Source organism: Homo sapiens, chromosome X, assembly GCF_000001405.40.
Source record: "Homo sapiens chromosome X, GRCh38.p14 Primary Assembly".
Classification (NCBI taxonomy): Eukaryota; Metazoa; Chordata; class Mammalia; order Primates; family Hominidae; genus Homo; species Homo sapiens.
This window is the reverse complement of record NC_000023.11, coordinates 153,986,490-154,003,635: the sequence shown is the minus strand read 5'-3', so window position 1 is coordinate 154,003,635 and position 17,146 is coordinate 153,986,490. Positions and strand designations below refer to the sequence as shown.

The 17,146-nt window shown below is 49.0% G+C and overlaps 5 annotated features.

Annotated features, from left to right (window-relative positions):
• Positions 1,219-1,268: an enhancer, noted in NCBI's record as "active region_30051". NCBI's record gives its function as "activates an Ori minimal core promoter by ATAC-STARR-seq in GM12878 lymphoblastoid cells {active_cell/tissue: GM12878}" and the evidence as "EXISTENCE:reporter gene assay evidence [ECO:0000049][PMID:35858748]".
• Positions 1,219-1,365: a biological region, named in NCBI's record as "NFE2L2 motif-containing MPRA enhancer 190/191".
• Positions 1,221-1,365: an enhancer, noted in NCBI's record as "145 bp enhancer 190/191 fragment used in the MPRA reporter construct; PK_construct_3420". NCBI's record gives its function as "activates an SV40 promoter by MPRA in HepG2 and K562 cells {active_cell/tissue: HepG2 | K562}" and the evidence as "EXISTENCE:reporter gene assay evidence [ECO:0000049][PMID:23512712]".
• Positions 1,288-1,298: a transcriptional cis regulatory region, noted in NCBI's record as "NFE2L2 motif; enhancer activity is reduced when this motif is scrambled". NCBI's record gives its function as "necessary for full MPRA enhancer 190/191 activity {active_cell/tissue: HepG2 | K562}" and the evidence as "EXISTENCE:site-directed mutagenesis evidence [ECO:0005528][PMID:23512712]".
• Positions 2,911-3,411: an enhancer, noted in NCBI's record as "H3K4me1 hESC enhancer chrX:153265676-153266176 (GRCh37/hg19 assembly coordinates)". NCBI's record gives its function as "activates a minimal SCP1, AML or CMV promoter by ChIP-STARR-seq in naive H9 embryonic stem cells {active_cell/tissue: H9 hESC(naive)}" and the evidence as "EXISTENCE:reporter gene assay evidence [ECO:0000049][PMID:30033119]".

Below are 17,146 nucleotides of genomic sequence, written 5' to 3'. Positions count from 1 at the left end.
AAAAAGAAACACTGGCCAGGCGTGGTGGCTCACACCTGTCATCCCAGCACTTTGGGAGGCCGAGGTGGGTGGATCACCTGAGGTCAGGAGTTTGAGACCAACCTGGCCAACACGATGAAACCCCATCTCTACTAAAAATACAAAAATTGCCCAGTCATCGTGGTGGGCGCCTGTAGTCCCAGCTACTCAGGAGGCAGAGGCAGGAGAATTGCTGGAACCCAGGAGGCAGAGGTTGCAGTGAGCCGAGATCATGCCACTGCACTCCAGCCTGGGTGACAGAGCGAGACTCCATCTCAAAAAAACAAAATAAAACAAAACAAAACAAAACAAAAACAAAGAAAAAAAAACACCATACCTTTTAATAGTCACTACCCATTTCTTCCCCATTTTCCCTTCCAGCTGAGGCAGTCACTCATCTCCTTTCTGTCTCTATAGATTCACCTACTCTGAACACTCCATATAAATGGGATAATACTCATGGGATCTTTCGTGTCTGGCTTCTTTCACTTAGCATTATGATTTTGGGGTTCATCTGTGTTGTAGCATGTCTCAGCACGTGATTCTTTTTTTTTTTCTGAGACAGGGCCTCATTCTGTCACCCAGGCTGGAGTGCAGTGGTGTGATCTCAGCTCACGGCAACCTCCGCCTCCCCGGTTCAAGCAATTCTCCTGCCTCAGCCTCCCGAGTAGCTGGGATTACAGGTGTCCACCACCATGCCCGACCAATTTTTGTATTTTAGTAGAGATGGGGTTTCACCATGTTGGCCAGGCTGGTCTCGAACTCCTGACCTCAAGTGATCCACCCGCCTTGGCCTCCCAAAGTGATGGGATGACAGGCGAGAGCCCCCGCGCCCATGCTGGGTTTTCTGTGTATTTTGCCCACATGCGTCCCTTGGCTTTTCTCTCAGTTGAGTTTATGATCCACACTCGGTTCCACTCGTGATGTTTGGTTGGGTTTTTTACTAAAGATCTCCCCAAGAGCCATGCCTGTGGCAACCCCCAGCAAGTGCTTGTGAGCGGAAGCTGGTTTCACCCTGTCAGCGGGAGGGGAGAGACAGGGGACAGGCTGGCAGAGGGACCGGAACCTGTGGTTTCTGAGGGACAGGGCAGCACAGAGACGCCACTCACCTAGTGAGAGGCTGGAGGAGCGGGCAGACTTCTCGCTACCGCCTTCACGGCGGAGCAGCTGCCACCCGATCGCAAATGTAACAGAAATGGCCTCACCCATGCTTTTCTGGGAGAGAAGGAAAGTCAGTGAATGAACAACTCCCTCTTGGGTTGGGTTTTCTGCTGAGTCACTGCCTTAATGGCTACCAGAGACAACTGACACCCCCTCGCTAGGCCGGTTTCTAAGGCAACCATTGAGCAAGGTGGCCAGTGCCAACCAGCCTGGAATCAGAAGAGACGCCCATACCCGGCCACCATGTTGCCTTTTTTATTTCTCTCCAGAATTTTTAGAGCCTATTTTTTAAAAAGAAAAACAAAACAAGCTTTTCCTTTTAAAAAATACCCTCTCAAAAAAAAAAAAAAAAAAAAAATCCAAACAGTACAGACACGTACGAAGTAAGAAAATCTCCTTCTCAGTCTCCCAGCCTCCAGTCCCCTGGCTAACACTAGCTGTGGCCACCAGTCCCTGGTTTAAGTCCCCTCTACTCACGCTTCTCTCATGATTCCACGCCTCGCCAGTTTCACTTAACAAGACAAATCGAGAGTGTTCCCTGGACACAGATGTCCCTGACTTTTGTCCTTTTTTAGAGCTGTATGAATGTACTCCATGTCATTTATTTCGCCAGCCTCCCCAAAGGGTCAGTTCGGTTGTTCCAGTTTCTGTGTGTGTGTGTTTTTGCACTTAGGCAAGATCTTTAGGCGAGATCTCTATGAGCAGCAGTCAGGATCTGGCTCTGTCACTCAGGCTGGAGTGCAGTGGTGCGATCATGGCTCACTGCAACCTCGACCTCCCAGGTTCAAGTGATCCTCCCATCTCAGCCTCCCGAGGAGCTGGGACTACAGATGTGTGCCACCACGCCCGGCTAATTTTTTATTTTTCTGTAGAGATGGGGTCTCACTATGTTGCCCAGGCTGGTCTCAAACTCCTGACCTCAGGTGATCCACCTGCCTCGACCTCCCAAAGTGCTGGGATTACAGGCGTGAGCCACCACGCCCGGCTGAAATGACCCTTTTAAATAAATGTTGGGTTAAGGAGGAAATTAAAATTTTAAAATAGTAAATATAACTTTATGGCAATACATTTGAAAAGTCTAGATTAACTGAATGACTTTCTGTGAAAAATAGAAATCTTCAGAGTTGTCTCAAGAAGTAGTAAAACTGCGCCAAGCACAGTGGCTCACGCCTGTAATCCCAGCACTTTGGGAGGCCGAGGCAGGCAGATCACTTGAGGTCAAGAGTTTGAGACCACCCTGGCCAACACGGTGAAACCACGTCTCTACTTACAAAATACAAAATATTAGCTGGGCGTGGTGGCGCGCACCTGTAGTCCCAGCTATCCGGGAAGCTGAACCCGGGAGGTGGAGGTTGCAATGAGCCGAGATCGTGCCACTGCACTCCAGCATGGGTGACAGAGCGAGACTCCGTCTCAAAAAATAAATGAATAAAGAAGTAGTAGGCCAGGCGCCATGGATCACGAGGTCAGGAGTTCAAGACCAGCCTGGCCAAGATGGTGAAACCCCGTCACTACTAAAAATCCAAAAATTAGCCGGGCATGGTGGTGGGCACCTGTAATCCCAGCTACGTGGGAGGGTGAAGCAGAGAATTGCTTGAACCCAAGAGGCGGAGGTTGCAGGGAGCTGAGATGGTGCCACTGCACTCCAGCCTGGGCGACAGAGCAAGACTCCATCTCAAAAAAAAAAAAAAAAAAGCCGGGCGTGGTGGCTCACGCCTTTAATCCCAGCACTTTGAGAGGCCGAGGCAGGGGGACTACCTGAGGTTGGGAGTTCAAGACCAGCCTGACCAACGTGGAGAAACCCCGTCTCTACTAAAAATACAACATTAGCCAGGCGTGGTGGCGCGTGCCCGTAATCCCAGCTACTTGGGAGGCTGAGGCAGGAGAATCACTTGAACCTGGGAGGCAGAGGTTGCGGTGAGCAGAGATCGCGCCATTGCACTCCAGCCTGGGTGACAGAGCAAAACTCTGTCAAAAAAAAAAGAAGTACTAAAACTGAATAGACCATGAGTCACATGTGAAAAGGAATTGCTAGGTGCTAAGCTTCTAAAGGGTCCCTCTAGGTCCCCAGGCTGCTCCATGTGACAGGCACAACCCATCCCCAGTGTAGAACAAATTCTTCTTGCCTTTCATAAGGAGAGGTGTTTGCATAAGATGGAGAGCCGAGTAAGCCCAAGTACAGCAAGAATCGAGTTTTCCCAGCCCCGAGAGGCCCTGGTTGGCTGCAGCCTGATGAGGTGCTAGGTGTGGCCGTCTGGCTTCCCACCCTGTTCTGCGTCTCTGGCTAATTAAACTAAGAACCAAATATGGTCTGTATTTCTACCCATCTGCAGCCACCAGGTGCTAAAAGGGATTCCCAGCTGCCCTGTCTATGGAGCAGCCATTCTTTTATTCCTCTATCTTCCTAATAAACTTGCTTTCACTTTACTGTAAAAAATAAAAACAAAAAACAAAAAGGGATTCCCCACCCCCGCCCCGTTTTCCCAATTTCAGCTGTTGGCTGTAGACTCCCCAAAATCACCACCAGAAAAACCTGTTGTTCAGGCAAAGCTGAGTTTATTGGACTCACTGCAAAGAGGAAGAACACTCCCCCGACAGAGCCGGCCTCAGATCACCAGGGAGGAAAGGAGGAGAGAAAATGCCCGAAGTCCGAGCCGGCGTGGGGAGGGCCGGGTGGGAAGCATGGTCAGCCTTGGACGGCTGGGTGCAGTCTCGGGCCGGGCTCTGCGAGTCTCATCTTTCAGGAGCATGGGTGTGTTGGTCCTGCAAGCGAATTGACTTGTGCTAGTTCTCAGGATTGTGTGGCAGAGCAACAGGTCCCAGAACTGTTTATCACGGGGATAGGAAGGCACCTCGCTCCCGGCATTGTTGAACACAGGGCTAGGAAACAATGCTGGGTTCAGGCTTCCCAACCAAGATCCCCAGCGGACAACAAAAGGAGGACAAAAGCCACTGCCCATTCCCACTCCCCTACGAGCCCACCAAGATCACCTGTTGCTAAAGTCATTGCTGCCTGCAGTAAGGGAGACTGCAACCTTGCCCATGCCTGAGAAGTTTCTGGAAGGGTGAGGTTAAGGTTCATGTTGGAAAATAAGTACCCTTGGGTTTAAGAACCAGAATGATGCCAGAGCGTGGTGCACACCTGCAGTCCAGCATTGTGGGAGGCCAAGGTAGATGGATTGCGTGAGCTCAGGAGTTCAAGACCAACCTGGGCAACACAGGGAGACCTAATCTCTACAAATAGTAATTAAAAAATTAGCTTGTGCACTTCAAAAAAAAAAAATTAAGGGTAGGCCGGGAGTCGTGGCTCATGCCTGTAATCCCAGCACTTTGGGAGGCCGAGGCAGGTGGATCAGCTGAGGTCAGGAGTTTGAGACCAACCTGGCCAACATGAAGAAACCCTGTCTCTACTAAAAATACAAAAATTAGCCAGGCGTGGTGGTGCACGCCTGTAGTCCCAGCTTCTCGGGAGGCTGAGGTGGGAGGATCGCTTAAGCCCAGGAAGTTGAGGCTGCAGTGAGTCTAGATCTCATCAGTGCACTCCAGCCTGGGTGACAGAGTGAGACCCTGTCTTAAAAAAAAAAAAAAAAAAAAAAAAAGAAAGAAAAGAAAAGACAACCAGGCCGGGCGTGTTGGCTCATGCCTGTAATCCCAACACTTTGGAAGGCTGAAGCGGGCAGATCACAAGGTCAAGAGATCAAGACCATCCTGGCCAACATGGTGAAACCCCGTCTCTACTAAAAATACAAAAATTAGCTGGGTGTGGTGGTGCAAGCCTGTAGTCCCAGCTATTTGGGAGGCTGAGGCAGGAGAATCACTTGAACCCGGGAGGCAGAGGTTGCAGTGAGCCGAGTTTGTGCCACTGCACTCCAGCCTGGCAACAGAGCGAGACTCTGTCTAAAAAAAAAGAAAAAGAAAAGAAAAGAAAAAAGAACCAGAATAAGACTAATTACAAGCAACCTGACTGAAACATGATGGACTCGGGCCCCACGTCTTAAGGGGGATTTGGCACAACTCAATGGGGTGGGGGCGGGCACAGTCGCTGGGAAAATAAAACCATTTATTGCATGTACTTCCAAGTACATGCAAGAAATGAGACTTACTACAAAGACTGGTTACAGGAGTGATGTCTGACAGTAAAATCAGACAAGAGCAAAGCAAATGACACCCAGTCTCAGATAGGCCCAGTGAAGACAGCCAGAATCTCCTGACTCAAACCTGCCCAGCAGACCAGAGGACGTTTCAGTGGTGCAATCAAGTGATTTACAAAGAATGAGAACTTTGCTTCATCCTTCCAACACGTATTCCTTGTGCGCCACGTCCGGCTAACTTTTTCAATTGCATTGGCCAATTTAACATTGGGAAACGGGAAGAAACAGTGGTGATCCTGGGAATATTGTCTCATTCTTGACTAATGAAAATGCTGTGGTGTTTCACCATTAAGCACAGTACTGTTTGTGGCTTCATACAATCAGCTCATGAAGCTGTCATCTCTGCAGATTTCACTTTTTTTTTTTTTTTTTGAGATGGAGTTTCACTCTTGCGGCCCAGGCTGGAGTGCAGTGGAACCATCTTGGCTTACGGCAACCTCCGCCTCCCAGGTTCAAGCGATTCTCCTGCCTCAGCCTCCCAGACAGCTGGGATTACAGGGGCCCGCCACCACACCTGGCTCATTTTTTGCGTTTTTAGTAGAGATGGGGTTTCACCATGTTGGCCAGGCTGGTCTCAAACTCTTGACCTCAGGTGATCCACGTGCCGTGGGCTCAAGTGATTCCCCTGCCTCAGCCTCAGGTAGCTGGGATTACGGGTGCCCACTACCACGCCCGGATAATTTTTGCAGTTTTACTACAGACAGGGTTTCACCATGTTGGTCAGGCTGGTCTCGAACTCCTGACCTCAGGTGATCCACCTGCCTCGGCCTCCCAAAGTGCTGGGATTACAGGGGTGAGCCACCACAGCTGGCCTTTTTCTACTTAGGAAGCTGACGTGGGAGGGTTGACTGGGCCCAGGAGGATGAGGCTGCATGAGCTGTGGTCATGCCACCGCACTCTAGCCTGGGTGACAGAGTGAGGTCCTGTCTCAAAAAAAGAAAATTTTAGTGGGCAAAAGATCTGAATAGACATGGCCAACAGGTCTATGAAAAAATGCTCCACATCACTCACCATCAGGGAAACACAAGTCAAAAGCACCACGAGATATCATCTCACCCCAGTTAAAATGGCTTTTAACAAAAAGATGTTTAAAAAAATAACAAATGCTGACAAGGATGCAGGGAAATGGGAACCTCGTACGCTGTTGGTGTGAATGTAAAGTAGCACAGACAGTACGGAGAACAGTATAGTCCAAAAACTACAAACACAACTACCGTATTAGCCAGCAATTTCACTACTTGGTATATATTTAAAGGTATATATTTAAATTTGAAATCACCATGTCAAAGAGATACCTGCACTCCCGTGTTCATTGCAGCACTATTCACAACAGGTAAGAGATGGAATCAACCTAAGAGTTTATCAATGGGTGAATGGATAAAGAAAGTGTGATATCTGTACACAACGGAATCCCATTCAGCCATAAAAGAGAAGGAAATCCTGTCATTTGCAACAAAATAGGTGAAACTGGGGAACACTATGTTAAATGAAATAAGCCAGGTACAAAAAGACAAATACCACACAACCTCACTGATATGTAGAAAATAAAAAAGCTGAACTCATAAAGGGGCTGCAGGGTGGTGGGTGGGGAGGGAAGGATGAGGAGATGTTGGCCAAGGGATTCAAAATTCCAATTAGGAGGAATTCCAATTAGTTCAAGAGATTTGTTGTACATCATCGTGACTATGGTTAATAACAATATGTTGTGTACATTTGGTTATAGTTTATTCACTTCTTTGCTTTTTTTAAGAGTCAGGTGTGAACCCTGAATATCTGAGAGAGGTCTCAGTGAATTTAGAAAGTTTGTTTTGCCAAGGTTGAGGATGGTCCTGACGACATGTGCCCGAGGTGGTCAGAGCACAGCTTGGTTTTATACATTTTAGGGAGACATGAGACATCAGTCAACATATGTAAGATGAACATTGGCTTGGTCCAGAAAGGGACAACTTGAAGTGGGGAGGGGGCTTCCAGGTCATGGGTAGATAAGAGACCAATGATTGTGTTGTTTTGAGTTTCTCATGAGCCTCTCCAAAGGAAGCAATCCAATAAGCATTTATCTCAGTGAACAGAGGAGTGGCCTTGAATAGAGTGGGAGGCAGGTTGGCCCTAAGCAGTTCCCAGCTTGAGTTTTCCCTTTAGCTGAGTGATTTGGGGGCCCCAAGATTTATTTTCCTTTCACACAGGTCTCCCTCTGTCACCCAGGCTGGAGTGCAGTGGTGTGATCATGGCTCACCGCAGCCTCAGACTCCTAGGCCCAAGCAATTCTCCCTCAGCCTCCGAGTAGCTAGGACCACAGGCTCGCACCACCATCCCCACCTAACTTTTGTATTTTTTTTTAGAGACAGACTCACCATGTTACCTAGGCTGGCCTCAAACTCCTGGGCTCAAGCAATCCTCCCACCTCAGCCTCCCACAGTGCTGGGATTACAGGCATGAGCCACCGCGCCCAGCCTGGATATTCATGCCTTGATCTGCTTTTGGATGATATTAGCTAATGTTTTTATTTTAGAAATGCCTACCAGTGTTTAACAGCAGTATCGATACTTTTCCGTGTGTGCATGTGTGTGTGTGTCAAGTCTGCAACCAGATTCAGTGAGTCACCCAGGAGTACCTACTGTGTGCCAGACACCGCTGTGGACTCAGAGCGGAGAAGCAAGCAGGACCCACAAGAGTCTGTCTTTGTGACACTAACATTCTCCTGGGGGACAAAGGTTATTCTGGCTTCATAAAGCACATCTGGAAACTTTACTTTCTTTGAAACCCTGGAATTACCTCTTTTTTTTTTTTGAGACGGAGTCTCGCTCTGTCGCCCAGGCTGGAGTGCAGTGGCGCCATCTCGGCTCACTGCAAGCTCCGCCTCCCGGGTTCACTCCATTCTCCTGCCTCAGCCTCCCCAGTAGCTGGGACTACAGGCGCCCGCCACCGCGCCCGGCTAATGTTTTGTGTTTTTAGTAGACACGGGGTTTCACCGCGTTAGCCAGGATGGTCTCGATCTCCTGATCTCGTGATCCGTCCACCTCGGCCTCCTGAAGTGCTTGGATGACAGGCGTGAGCCACTGCGCCTCGCTGGAATTACCTGTCTCTTAAAGGCCAGGAATAATTCACTGGAGGATTCACTAGGCCTGGGCTGTCTGATAGCCACCATTTCTTCTCTGCTCAGCTGCTGGTGGGGTGCCCCTACTTCTCAAGCCGCCCCACTGTGGAAATGAAACTGTTCCTTAAAACCCTGAAGGCCAGGCACAGTGGCTTAGGCCTGGAATCCTAGTACTTTGGGAGGTTGAGACGGGTGGATCGCTTGAGCCCAGGAGTTCCTGACCAGCCTGGGCAACATGGGGAGACCCCGTCTCTATGAAAAGTGACATAATTACATAATTAGCTGGGCATGGGGCCGTGCGCCTGTAGTCCCAGTTATTCAGGGGGTTGAAGTGGGAGGATCACCTGAGCCCGGAGGTCCGTGGTGCAGTGAGCCGAGATCGCGCCACTGCATTCCAGCCTGGGAGAAAGGGTGAGACCCTGTCTCAAACACACACACACACACACACACACATGCACACACACACACACACACGCACACATGCACACATGCACACACACACACATGCACACACACACACATGCACACACACACACATGCACACACACACACACGCACACATGCACACACGCACACACGCACACACACACACACACACACACATGCACACACACACACACACACACACACCCCCAAACCTCTGCAGCCCACAGCAGTGTCCACGTCTTCTCACCTGGAGCCAGCAAGTCCAGGAGTGAAGACATGATGAGAGGCCCCTACAGTCACTCAGGATCTGGTGACATGAGGGCCAGACCCCTGCCCAAACCCTGAATGCACCTTGCTTGGGGTTAAAATGGTTCAAGAGCAAAGGGCCCACTTCCCCGTCCCCCTCCTCCAGCACTTGCCACCCCCACCCAATGCTCTCTCCTCCAACCACCCTCCCTGCCTTCTCCTGCCCCTCTTCTGCCCCCGTCTCTGGTTCTCCCCACTGAGGCATAGGAAGAGATGCCCATTTCTCATGGGGAAATGCAAGATAAAATCGCACCCAGAATGACTGTCACTGAAGACTGGTCGCAGGGAGCACTGGTGAGGAGGCGGAGTGCATGAAAGGTTCGCACGCGGCCAGCAGGAGTGTGAAATGGCACAGCCACTTTGAATCACTGTTCAGCAGTTTCTTATCAACTTAAAAACTTCTTTGCAGCAAGATGATCCTCAGTTTGAATCACAAAATAGAAATAAACATTTTAAAAAAGAAAACTGCAAGCCGGGCACGGTGGCTCACGCCTCTAATCCCAGCACTTTGGGAGGCCGAGGCGGGCGGATCACAAGGTCAGGAGATCGAGACCATCCTGGCTAACGCGGTGAAACCCCGTCTCTACTAAAAATACAAAAAATTAGCCGGGCGTGGTGGCGGGCGCCTATAGTCCCAGCTACTTGGGAGGCTGAGGCAGGAGAATCCCTCAAACCCGTGAGGCGGAGCTTGCAGTGAGCCCAGATTGTGCCACTGCACTCCAGTCTGGGCGACAGAGCCAGACTCTGTCTCAAAAAAAAAAAAAAAAAAAAGAAAAAAAAAAGAAACCTCCCTCTACGATGCTTCATGTGCCTATTTCTCCCTAGAGTTCTGTCAACTTTTGCTTAAGATATGTAGAGCCTATTTTAACATCATTCCTAAACTGTTTTTGTTTTGTCCCAAAGCCTATTTTGTCTGATGTTAATATAGCCATGGCAGCTTGCTTTTGGTAGTAACTGCCTAGCATTCATTCTTTCACATGTAATATTTCCATGGACATATGTTTGAGGTGTGTCTCTAGTAAACAGCATATGCTGGAAGTGGGGGTTTCCATCCAATCTGACAATCTCCGGAATCTCTGACAATTCCCAATCTGAAGTCCTCGGCAGGGGGCTACATCTGCTGTTTGTTATGTCTGTCCCAGCAGAAGCCCCCCCAGCGGGGCCGGCTCGGCAACCTGCACATCTCGGCTCCGTGTGGGTGCTGCGGGCTGAGCTTCTCCACCTGTTGGGGTTGCATCCTATACAGAGCCAGCGGGGAAGGCAGCCTGTCTGGACGGCGAGATGGAGAGCTTCAAGCAGCAGGGGTGGAAGTTCAGATGCTGAGGGCCGGGTGCAGTGGCCTCCCTGTGTCCACATTTGACCTGTGGCACACCTGAAGGGTGGTTTCCAGGGGCTGCAGGAGGGGGACTGGGGAGTTAGCATTTAATGGGGATAGAGTTTCAGTTTAGAAGGATGAAAAGAGTTCCGGAGATGGACGATGATGTTGGTTGCACCATATTACGAATGTAGGTAACACCACTGAACTAACTAACCACAAAACTGGTTAACATGGTACATTTTATGTTATTATGTATTTTACCCCAATAAAAAACATCGGGCCAGGCACAGTGGCCTGTAATCTTGGCAACTCGGGAGGCTGAGGTGGGAGGATGGCTTGAGCCCAGGACAACTGGACAACATAGCAAGACCCTGCCTCTACAAAAAAAAAAAAAAAAAAAGAAAGAAAGAAAAAGGAAAGAAAAAAGAAGAAAAATTAGCTGAGCATGATGGTGAGCACCTATACTCCTAGCTACCCAGGAGGCTGGGATGGGAGGATCACTTAAGCCCAGGAGGTTGAGGCTGCAGTGAGCTGTGATCCTACCACTGCACTCCAGCCTGGGTGACAGAGCCAGACTCAGTTTCTAAAAAAATTTTAAAAATGAAAAAAATTGAAAAAAATATATTTTCAATTGAAATTTGGATCCCAAGTCACAGCGGTCATGGTGCAAGAGCTTCCTGGAATGAGTGAGGAGCAGCTCCAGGCAAAGTCCAAAGCCCCAGGGCAAAGCCCACCGCAGCCACTTCCTACTGCTGTGAACTTGGCCATTCAACTTCTCTAAACTGACTTTCGTCCACAGTAAGCCCTCGATCGCTGCTAGCCAGCATGGCCCGAGACAGCGGTGGTGAGGGAGTGGCTCTGCAGAATTACCCATACCAGATTTTATGAGGTCGACCTAAAGGAACACACTGAGGTAAAATTAATACAAGGAGAGTGTATTTGGGCCAAATTTGAGGATTGCAACCTGGGAAACACATCCAAACTAAGTTTTGGTAGGTATTCTGAGTTGAGGTGGTTACAAGCAGATATTAAGGACAAAATGAGGAGGCTGGGCCCCGTGGCTCATGTGTGCCATCCCAGCAATTGGGGAGGCTGAGGCAGGAGGATCACTGGAGCCCAGGGGTTCAAGACCAGCCTGGGCAACATGGTGAGACTCCATCTCTACAAGAAATAAATAAGTAGAGGCCAGGCGCGGTGGCTCACGCCTGTAATCTCAACACTTTGGGAGGCCGAGTGGGGGTGGATCACTTGACGTCAGTAGTTTGAGACCAGCCTGGCCAACGTGGTGAAACCCTGTCTCTGCTAAAAATACAAAATTAGCCGGGCATGGTGGTGCAGGCCTGTAGTCCCAGCTAATCGGGAGGCGGAGGCAGGAGAATCACCTGAACCTGGGAGGTGGAGGTTGCAGTGAGCCAATAGCGTGCATTGCACTCCAGCCTGGGCGACAAGAGCAAAACTCCATCTCAAAAATAAAATAAAATAAAATAAAATAAATAAAATAAAATAAAATAAAATAAAATATAAAAAATTAGCTGGGCACAGTGGTGCATACCTGTAGTCCCAGTTACTCTGGAGGCTGAGGCAGGAGAATCGCTTGAACCGGGGAGGCAGAGGTTGCACTGAGCTGAGATCGCACTAACCATTGCACTCCAGCCTGGGTGACAGAGTGAGTCTCTGAAAAAAAAAAAGAAAGAAAGAAAGAAAAAAAGAAGAAAGAAAGAAAGAAAGAAGAAAAGAAAGGAAAGAAAGAAGAAAGAAAGAAAGAAAAGAAAAGAAGGAAGGAAGCAAAGAAAGAAAGAAGAAAGAAAGAAGAAAAGAAAGGAAAGAAAGAAAAGAAAGAAGGAAAGGAAGGAAGGAAAGAAAAGAAAGAAGGAAAAGAAGGAAGGAAAGAAAGAAGAAAGGAAGGAAAGAAAGAAGAAAGGGAAAGAAAGAAGAGAAAGAAAAAAACAAAGAAAGAAGAAAAGAAGGAAGAAAAGAAAGAAAGAAAAGAAAAGGAAGGAAGCAAAGAAAGAAGAAAGAAAGGAAAGAAAGAAAGAAAGAAAAGAAGGAAGGAAGGAAAGAAAAAGAAGAAAGAAGAAAGAAGAGAAAGAAGAAAGAAAGGAAAGGACAAAAGAAGGAAGGAAAGAAAGAAAGAGAAAAAGAAAGAAAGAAAAAAAAGACTAACTCCAGGTTAGGCGCGGTGGCTCACACCTGTCATCCTGGCACTTTGGGAGGCCGAGGCGGGTGGTTCACGAGGTCAGGAGATCCAGACCATCCTGGCTAACATGGTGAACCCCACCTGTACTAAAAATACAAAAAAAATTAGCTGGGCGTGGTGGTGGGCGCCTGTAGTCCCACTACTCGGGAGGCTGAGGCAGGAGAATGGTGTGAACCCGGGAGGTGGAAGTTGCGGTGAGCCGAGATTGCACCACTGCACTCCAGCCTGGGCGACAGAGCGAGACTCCGTCTAAAAAAAAAAAAAAGACTAACTCCCCACCACTCTCCCCACCCTGGCGACCATCATCCTGTGGTGTGTCTCTGAGTCTGACGACACCAGGTCCCTCCCAAAAGTGGAATCAGGTACTTTCTGTCCTGGCTTCTTTCACTAATTATGATGTCCTCCAGGTTCATCCATGTGGTAGCCTGCGTAAGGATTCCCTTCCTTTTCATGGCTGAATAATATTCCATTGTGTGGATAAAGCAGATTGTGTTTATCTATGTATTCATCCATGGACACTTGGCCAGCTCTCACCTCTTGGGTGCTGTGAATTGCATCCCTTCAAGCTCCTGCTTTCAACTCCTTTGTGCCTATACCCAGCAGTGGAACTGCTGGACCCTATGGGAATTCTATGTTTAATGTTTTGAGGCAACCTCGATTTTAAGCTGAAAAAGGCAAACAAGGACAAAATGAAACTGTCACTCACTCCTGTCAGATCAGCAGATCACCCCGGTGACCACATCAAGTGCTGTTGAGGAGCTCTGCCCCCAATCTGGCAAGGGATTTGGCAAATTCTACTCGAGTTGAAATGCGAAGCTCTCACACATAGGCACCAAGAGGCGTGCACAGGAGCGTGAGACTGGGGACGTGTGCCATCGGTCACGTCCAGCCGGGTGGGGAGGCTCTGCACAATGTGCACGTAGAGAAACACAAGGAGGCTGGGAGCAGGGCCTCAGGCCTGTAATCCCAGCACTGTGGTAGGCCGAGGTGGGTGGGTCAGCTGAGTTCAGGGGTTCGAGACGAGCCTGGCCAACATGCTGAAACCTCATCTCTACTAAGGATACAAAAATTAGCCGGGCATGGTGGTGCACGCCTGTAATCCCAGCTACTCAGGAGGCAGAGGCAGGAGAATCACTTGAACCTGGGAGGAGGAGGTTGCGGTGAGCCGAGATTGTGCCGCTGCACTCCAGCCTGGGTGACAGAGCAAGACTCCATCTCAAAAACAAAACAAAACAAAACAAAACAACAACAACACAACAAAAAACCCACACACAAGGGCGAGGGCAGCCACACACTACTGTGCATGGGCCACATGCAGGAGAGGCATGGGAGGGGCACAGAATCTTCCAAAGAAACAGACCTGAGCTGGCCGAGATGGTGGCGGCACACACAAGCTAGCCCAGGCCCCAGTGGAGGTCAAGTGGGGCCGAGAAGAGGCAAGAGCAAAACCAGAAGTCAGCGGTTCCAAAGAGAAACAGACAGCAAAGATCAAAGTGAAAGGCCGGCAATGGAAGGAAAGGCTAGAAAAACAGAAACAAATCACCTATTGGGTATGAGGCTTACTATTTAATACCTGGGTGATGAAATAATCTGTACACAAAACCCACACAACATGCAATTTGTCTATGGAACCAACCTGCACATGTACCCCCGAAACTAAAATAAAATTTAAAATAATAATAAAATAGGGCAGGCGTGGTGGCTCATGCCTGTCATCCCAGCTACTCAGGAGGCTGAGGCAGGAGAATCGCTTGAACATGGGAGGCGGAGGTTGCAGTGAGCTGAGACTGCGCCATTGCACTCCAGCCTGGGCGACAGAGTGAGACTCAGTCTCAAAAAAAAAAAAAAAGAAAGAAAGAAAGAAAGAAAGAAAGAAAAGAAATAATAATAAAATAAAAACATGAAAGCTTTGAAGGACCTGGCGTGCCACCACAGCAATCAGGCTCCAGTGACCCTAGGAACAAGATGGCCACGCGCCGGGCCAAGGCAGTGCCCTCCAGTCACAGGGTCACTGAACAGAGAAGCAGCCCCCAGGACCAACGCAGAGAGGGTTCCATAAACCCGGGTCCCCAAAGATCCCCTTTGAATGGGAAGAAGCGCTCCCCAATCACATGATGACCCACTGGAGGATACGAACTGGCCAGTGGATATTTACCCGGTATTTCTATTCCCGGAGGCCTTCGGCGTGGGAGGGAAATGCCTCACCCACCTTCGTTCTCCCAGGCTGCAATGAGGCACCTTGCCCAAGCGTGCTGGCATTTCCCTCCCTCACCAAGTGCACTACTTCACTATAGTTACGTAAACCGTCATGTCAGCAATGTGACAGCCGCATTGTTTTCTTTATAAACATAATTTTTAACTATCTAATAATTTTATAATGAAAATGTTATAATAAAAACATCTGAAGCAGCTACAGGCGATGCTGAGATTTAACAAAGTTAGCTGAGGTACAGACAAGTGTTACCTAGACACTCAGAAAACTGCTTTAAGGAAGACCAACCCCGAAAGCTACGAAGAAAAAGACAGACATGCATGACCACATAAATCTTCAGAAGACAAACAATAGGCTGGGTGTAGTGGTTCACACCTGTAATCCCAACACTTTGGGATGCCAAGGTGGGAGGATTGCTTTAGCCCAGGAGTCCGAGGACAAAATGAGGAGGTTGGGTACAGTGGCTTATGCCTGTCATCCCAGCACTTTGAGGGCAAGGCAGGAGTGTGGTCCTGGGCAACACAGAGAGACCCCATCTCTAGAAAAAAAATGTAAGAATTAGGCTGGGCTCTGGCCAGGCGCGGTGGCTCATGCCTATAATCCCAGCACTTTGGGAGGCCGAGGCGGGTGGATCATGAGGTCAGTTCGAGACCAGCCTGGCCAGCATGGTGAAACCCCATCTCTACTAAAAATACAAAAAAATTAGCCGGGCTAATTTTAGCTGTAATCCCAGCTACTTGGGAAGCTGAGGCAGGAGAATTGCTTGAACCTGGGAGGCGGAAGTTGCAGTGAGCCAAGATCGCGCCATTGCACTCCAGCCTGGGCGACAGAGCGAGACTCCGTCTCAAAAAAAAAAAAAAAAAATTTGTAACTTAATAACAAATAATACATTTCATAGTAATTTTAAAAAAAAATTTTCTTTTTTTTTTTTTTTTTTTTAAGAATTAGCCAGGGAGGCTGGGTGCAGTGGCTCACACCTGTAATCCCAGCACTTTAGGAGGCCGAGGTGAGATCACCTGAGGTCGGGAGTTTAAGACCAGCCTGACCAACATGGAGAAACCCCGTATCTGCTACAAATACAGAAATTAGTCAGACATGGTGGCGCATGCCTGTTATCCCAGCTACTCGGGAGGCTGACACAGGAGAATCGCTTGAACCCAGGAGGCAGAGGTTGCAGTGAGCCAAGATTGCGCCATTGCGCTCCAGCCTGGGCAACAAGAGCAAAACTCCATCTCAAAAAAACAAAAACAAAAACAAAACAAAAGAATTAGCCAGGGATGGTGGCCTGCGCCCATAGTCCCAGTTACTTGGGAGGCTGAGGTGGGACGATCTCTTGAGCCTGGGAGTTGAAGGCTGCAGTGAACCATGATTGCGCCACTGCACTCCAGCCTGGGGGACACAGGGAGACCCTGTCTCAAAAATGCACACACACTACTTTTGGCGGGGGGTCGGTGAGAGAGGGGAAGGGGTCTGAGTTAGTCACAATGAAATCTCATGTCACCCTCATCAGATTGGCACACCATGAAAATGCACCCACCCTGACATTTGCTGGTGGGGGGCGGAGAAGCCTCTCACATTGCTGCTAGAGATGTGAATCAAGAACGTCACTGGGAAAAGCACTCCAGGGATTTGAAACTGAAGTTCCCTTCAGCCCTACAATCCCACTCCTGAGACCTAACTGGAGAAGGGCCTGCTCCGGGCCAGTGTGTGCAGTTTCTAGCAGACCTTGGCACGTCACCAAGCCAAAATGGGGCCCAGAAAAGCGAATGCATGATAGTGTGTGCCCTATGCTGTAATTTTTTTGTTTTTTTGAGATGGGGTCTTGCTCTGTCACCCAGGCTGGAGTGCAGTGATGCCATCTTATTACAACTGTGTCACTGCAGCCTGGATCTCCTGGGTTCAAGTGATCCTCCCCACCTCAGCCTCCTGAGTAGCTGAGACTACAAATACACACCATCAAGCCCAGCTAATTTTTTTTATTTTTGGTAGAGATGGGGTCTCCCTACGTTGTCCAGGGTGGTCTTAAACTCCTGAGGTCAAGCAATTCTTCCTTCTCAGCCTCCCAAAGTGCTGGGATTGCAGGCATCAGCCACTGCGCCTGGCCTAAAACTATTTTTGTTGTTGTTTTTGAGATGGAGTCTCACTCTGTTGCCCAGGCTGGGGTGCAATGGCACGATCTCAGCTCACTGCAACCTCCACCTCCCGGATTTAAGCGATTCTCCTGCCTCAGCCTCCCAAGTAGCTGGGATTACAGGCTCCCACC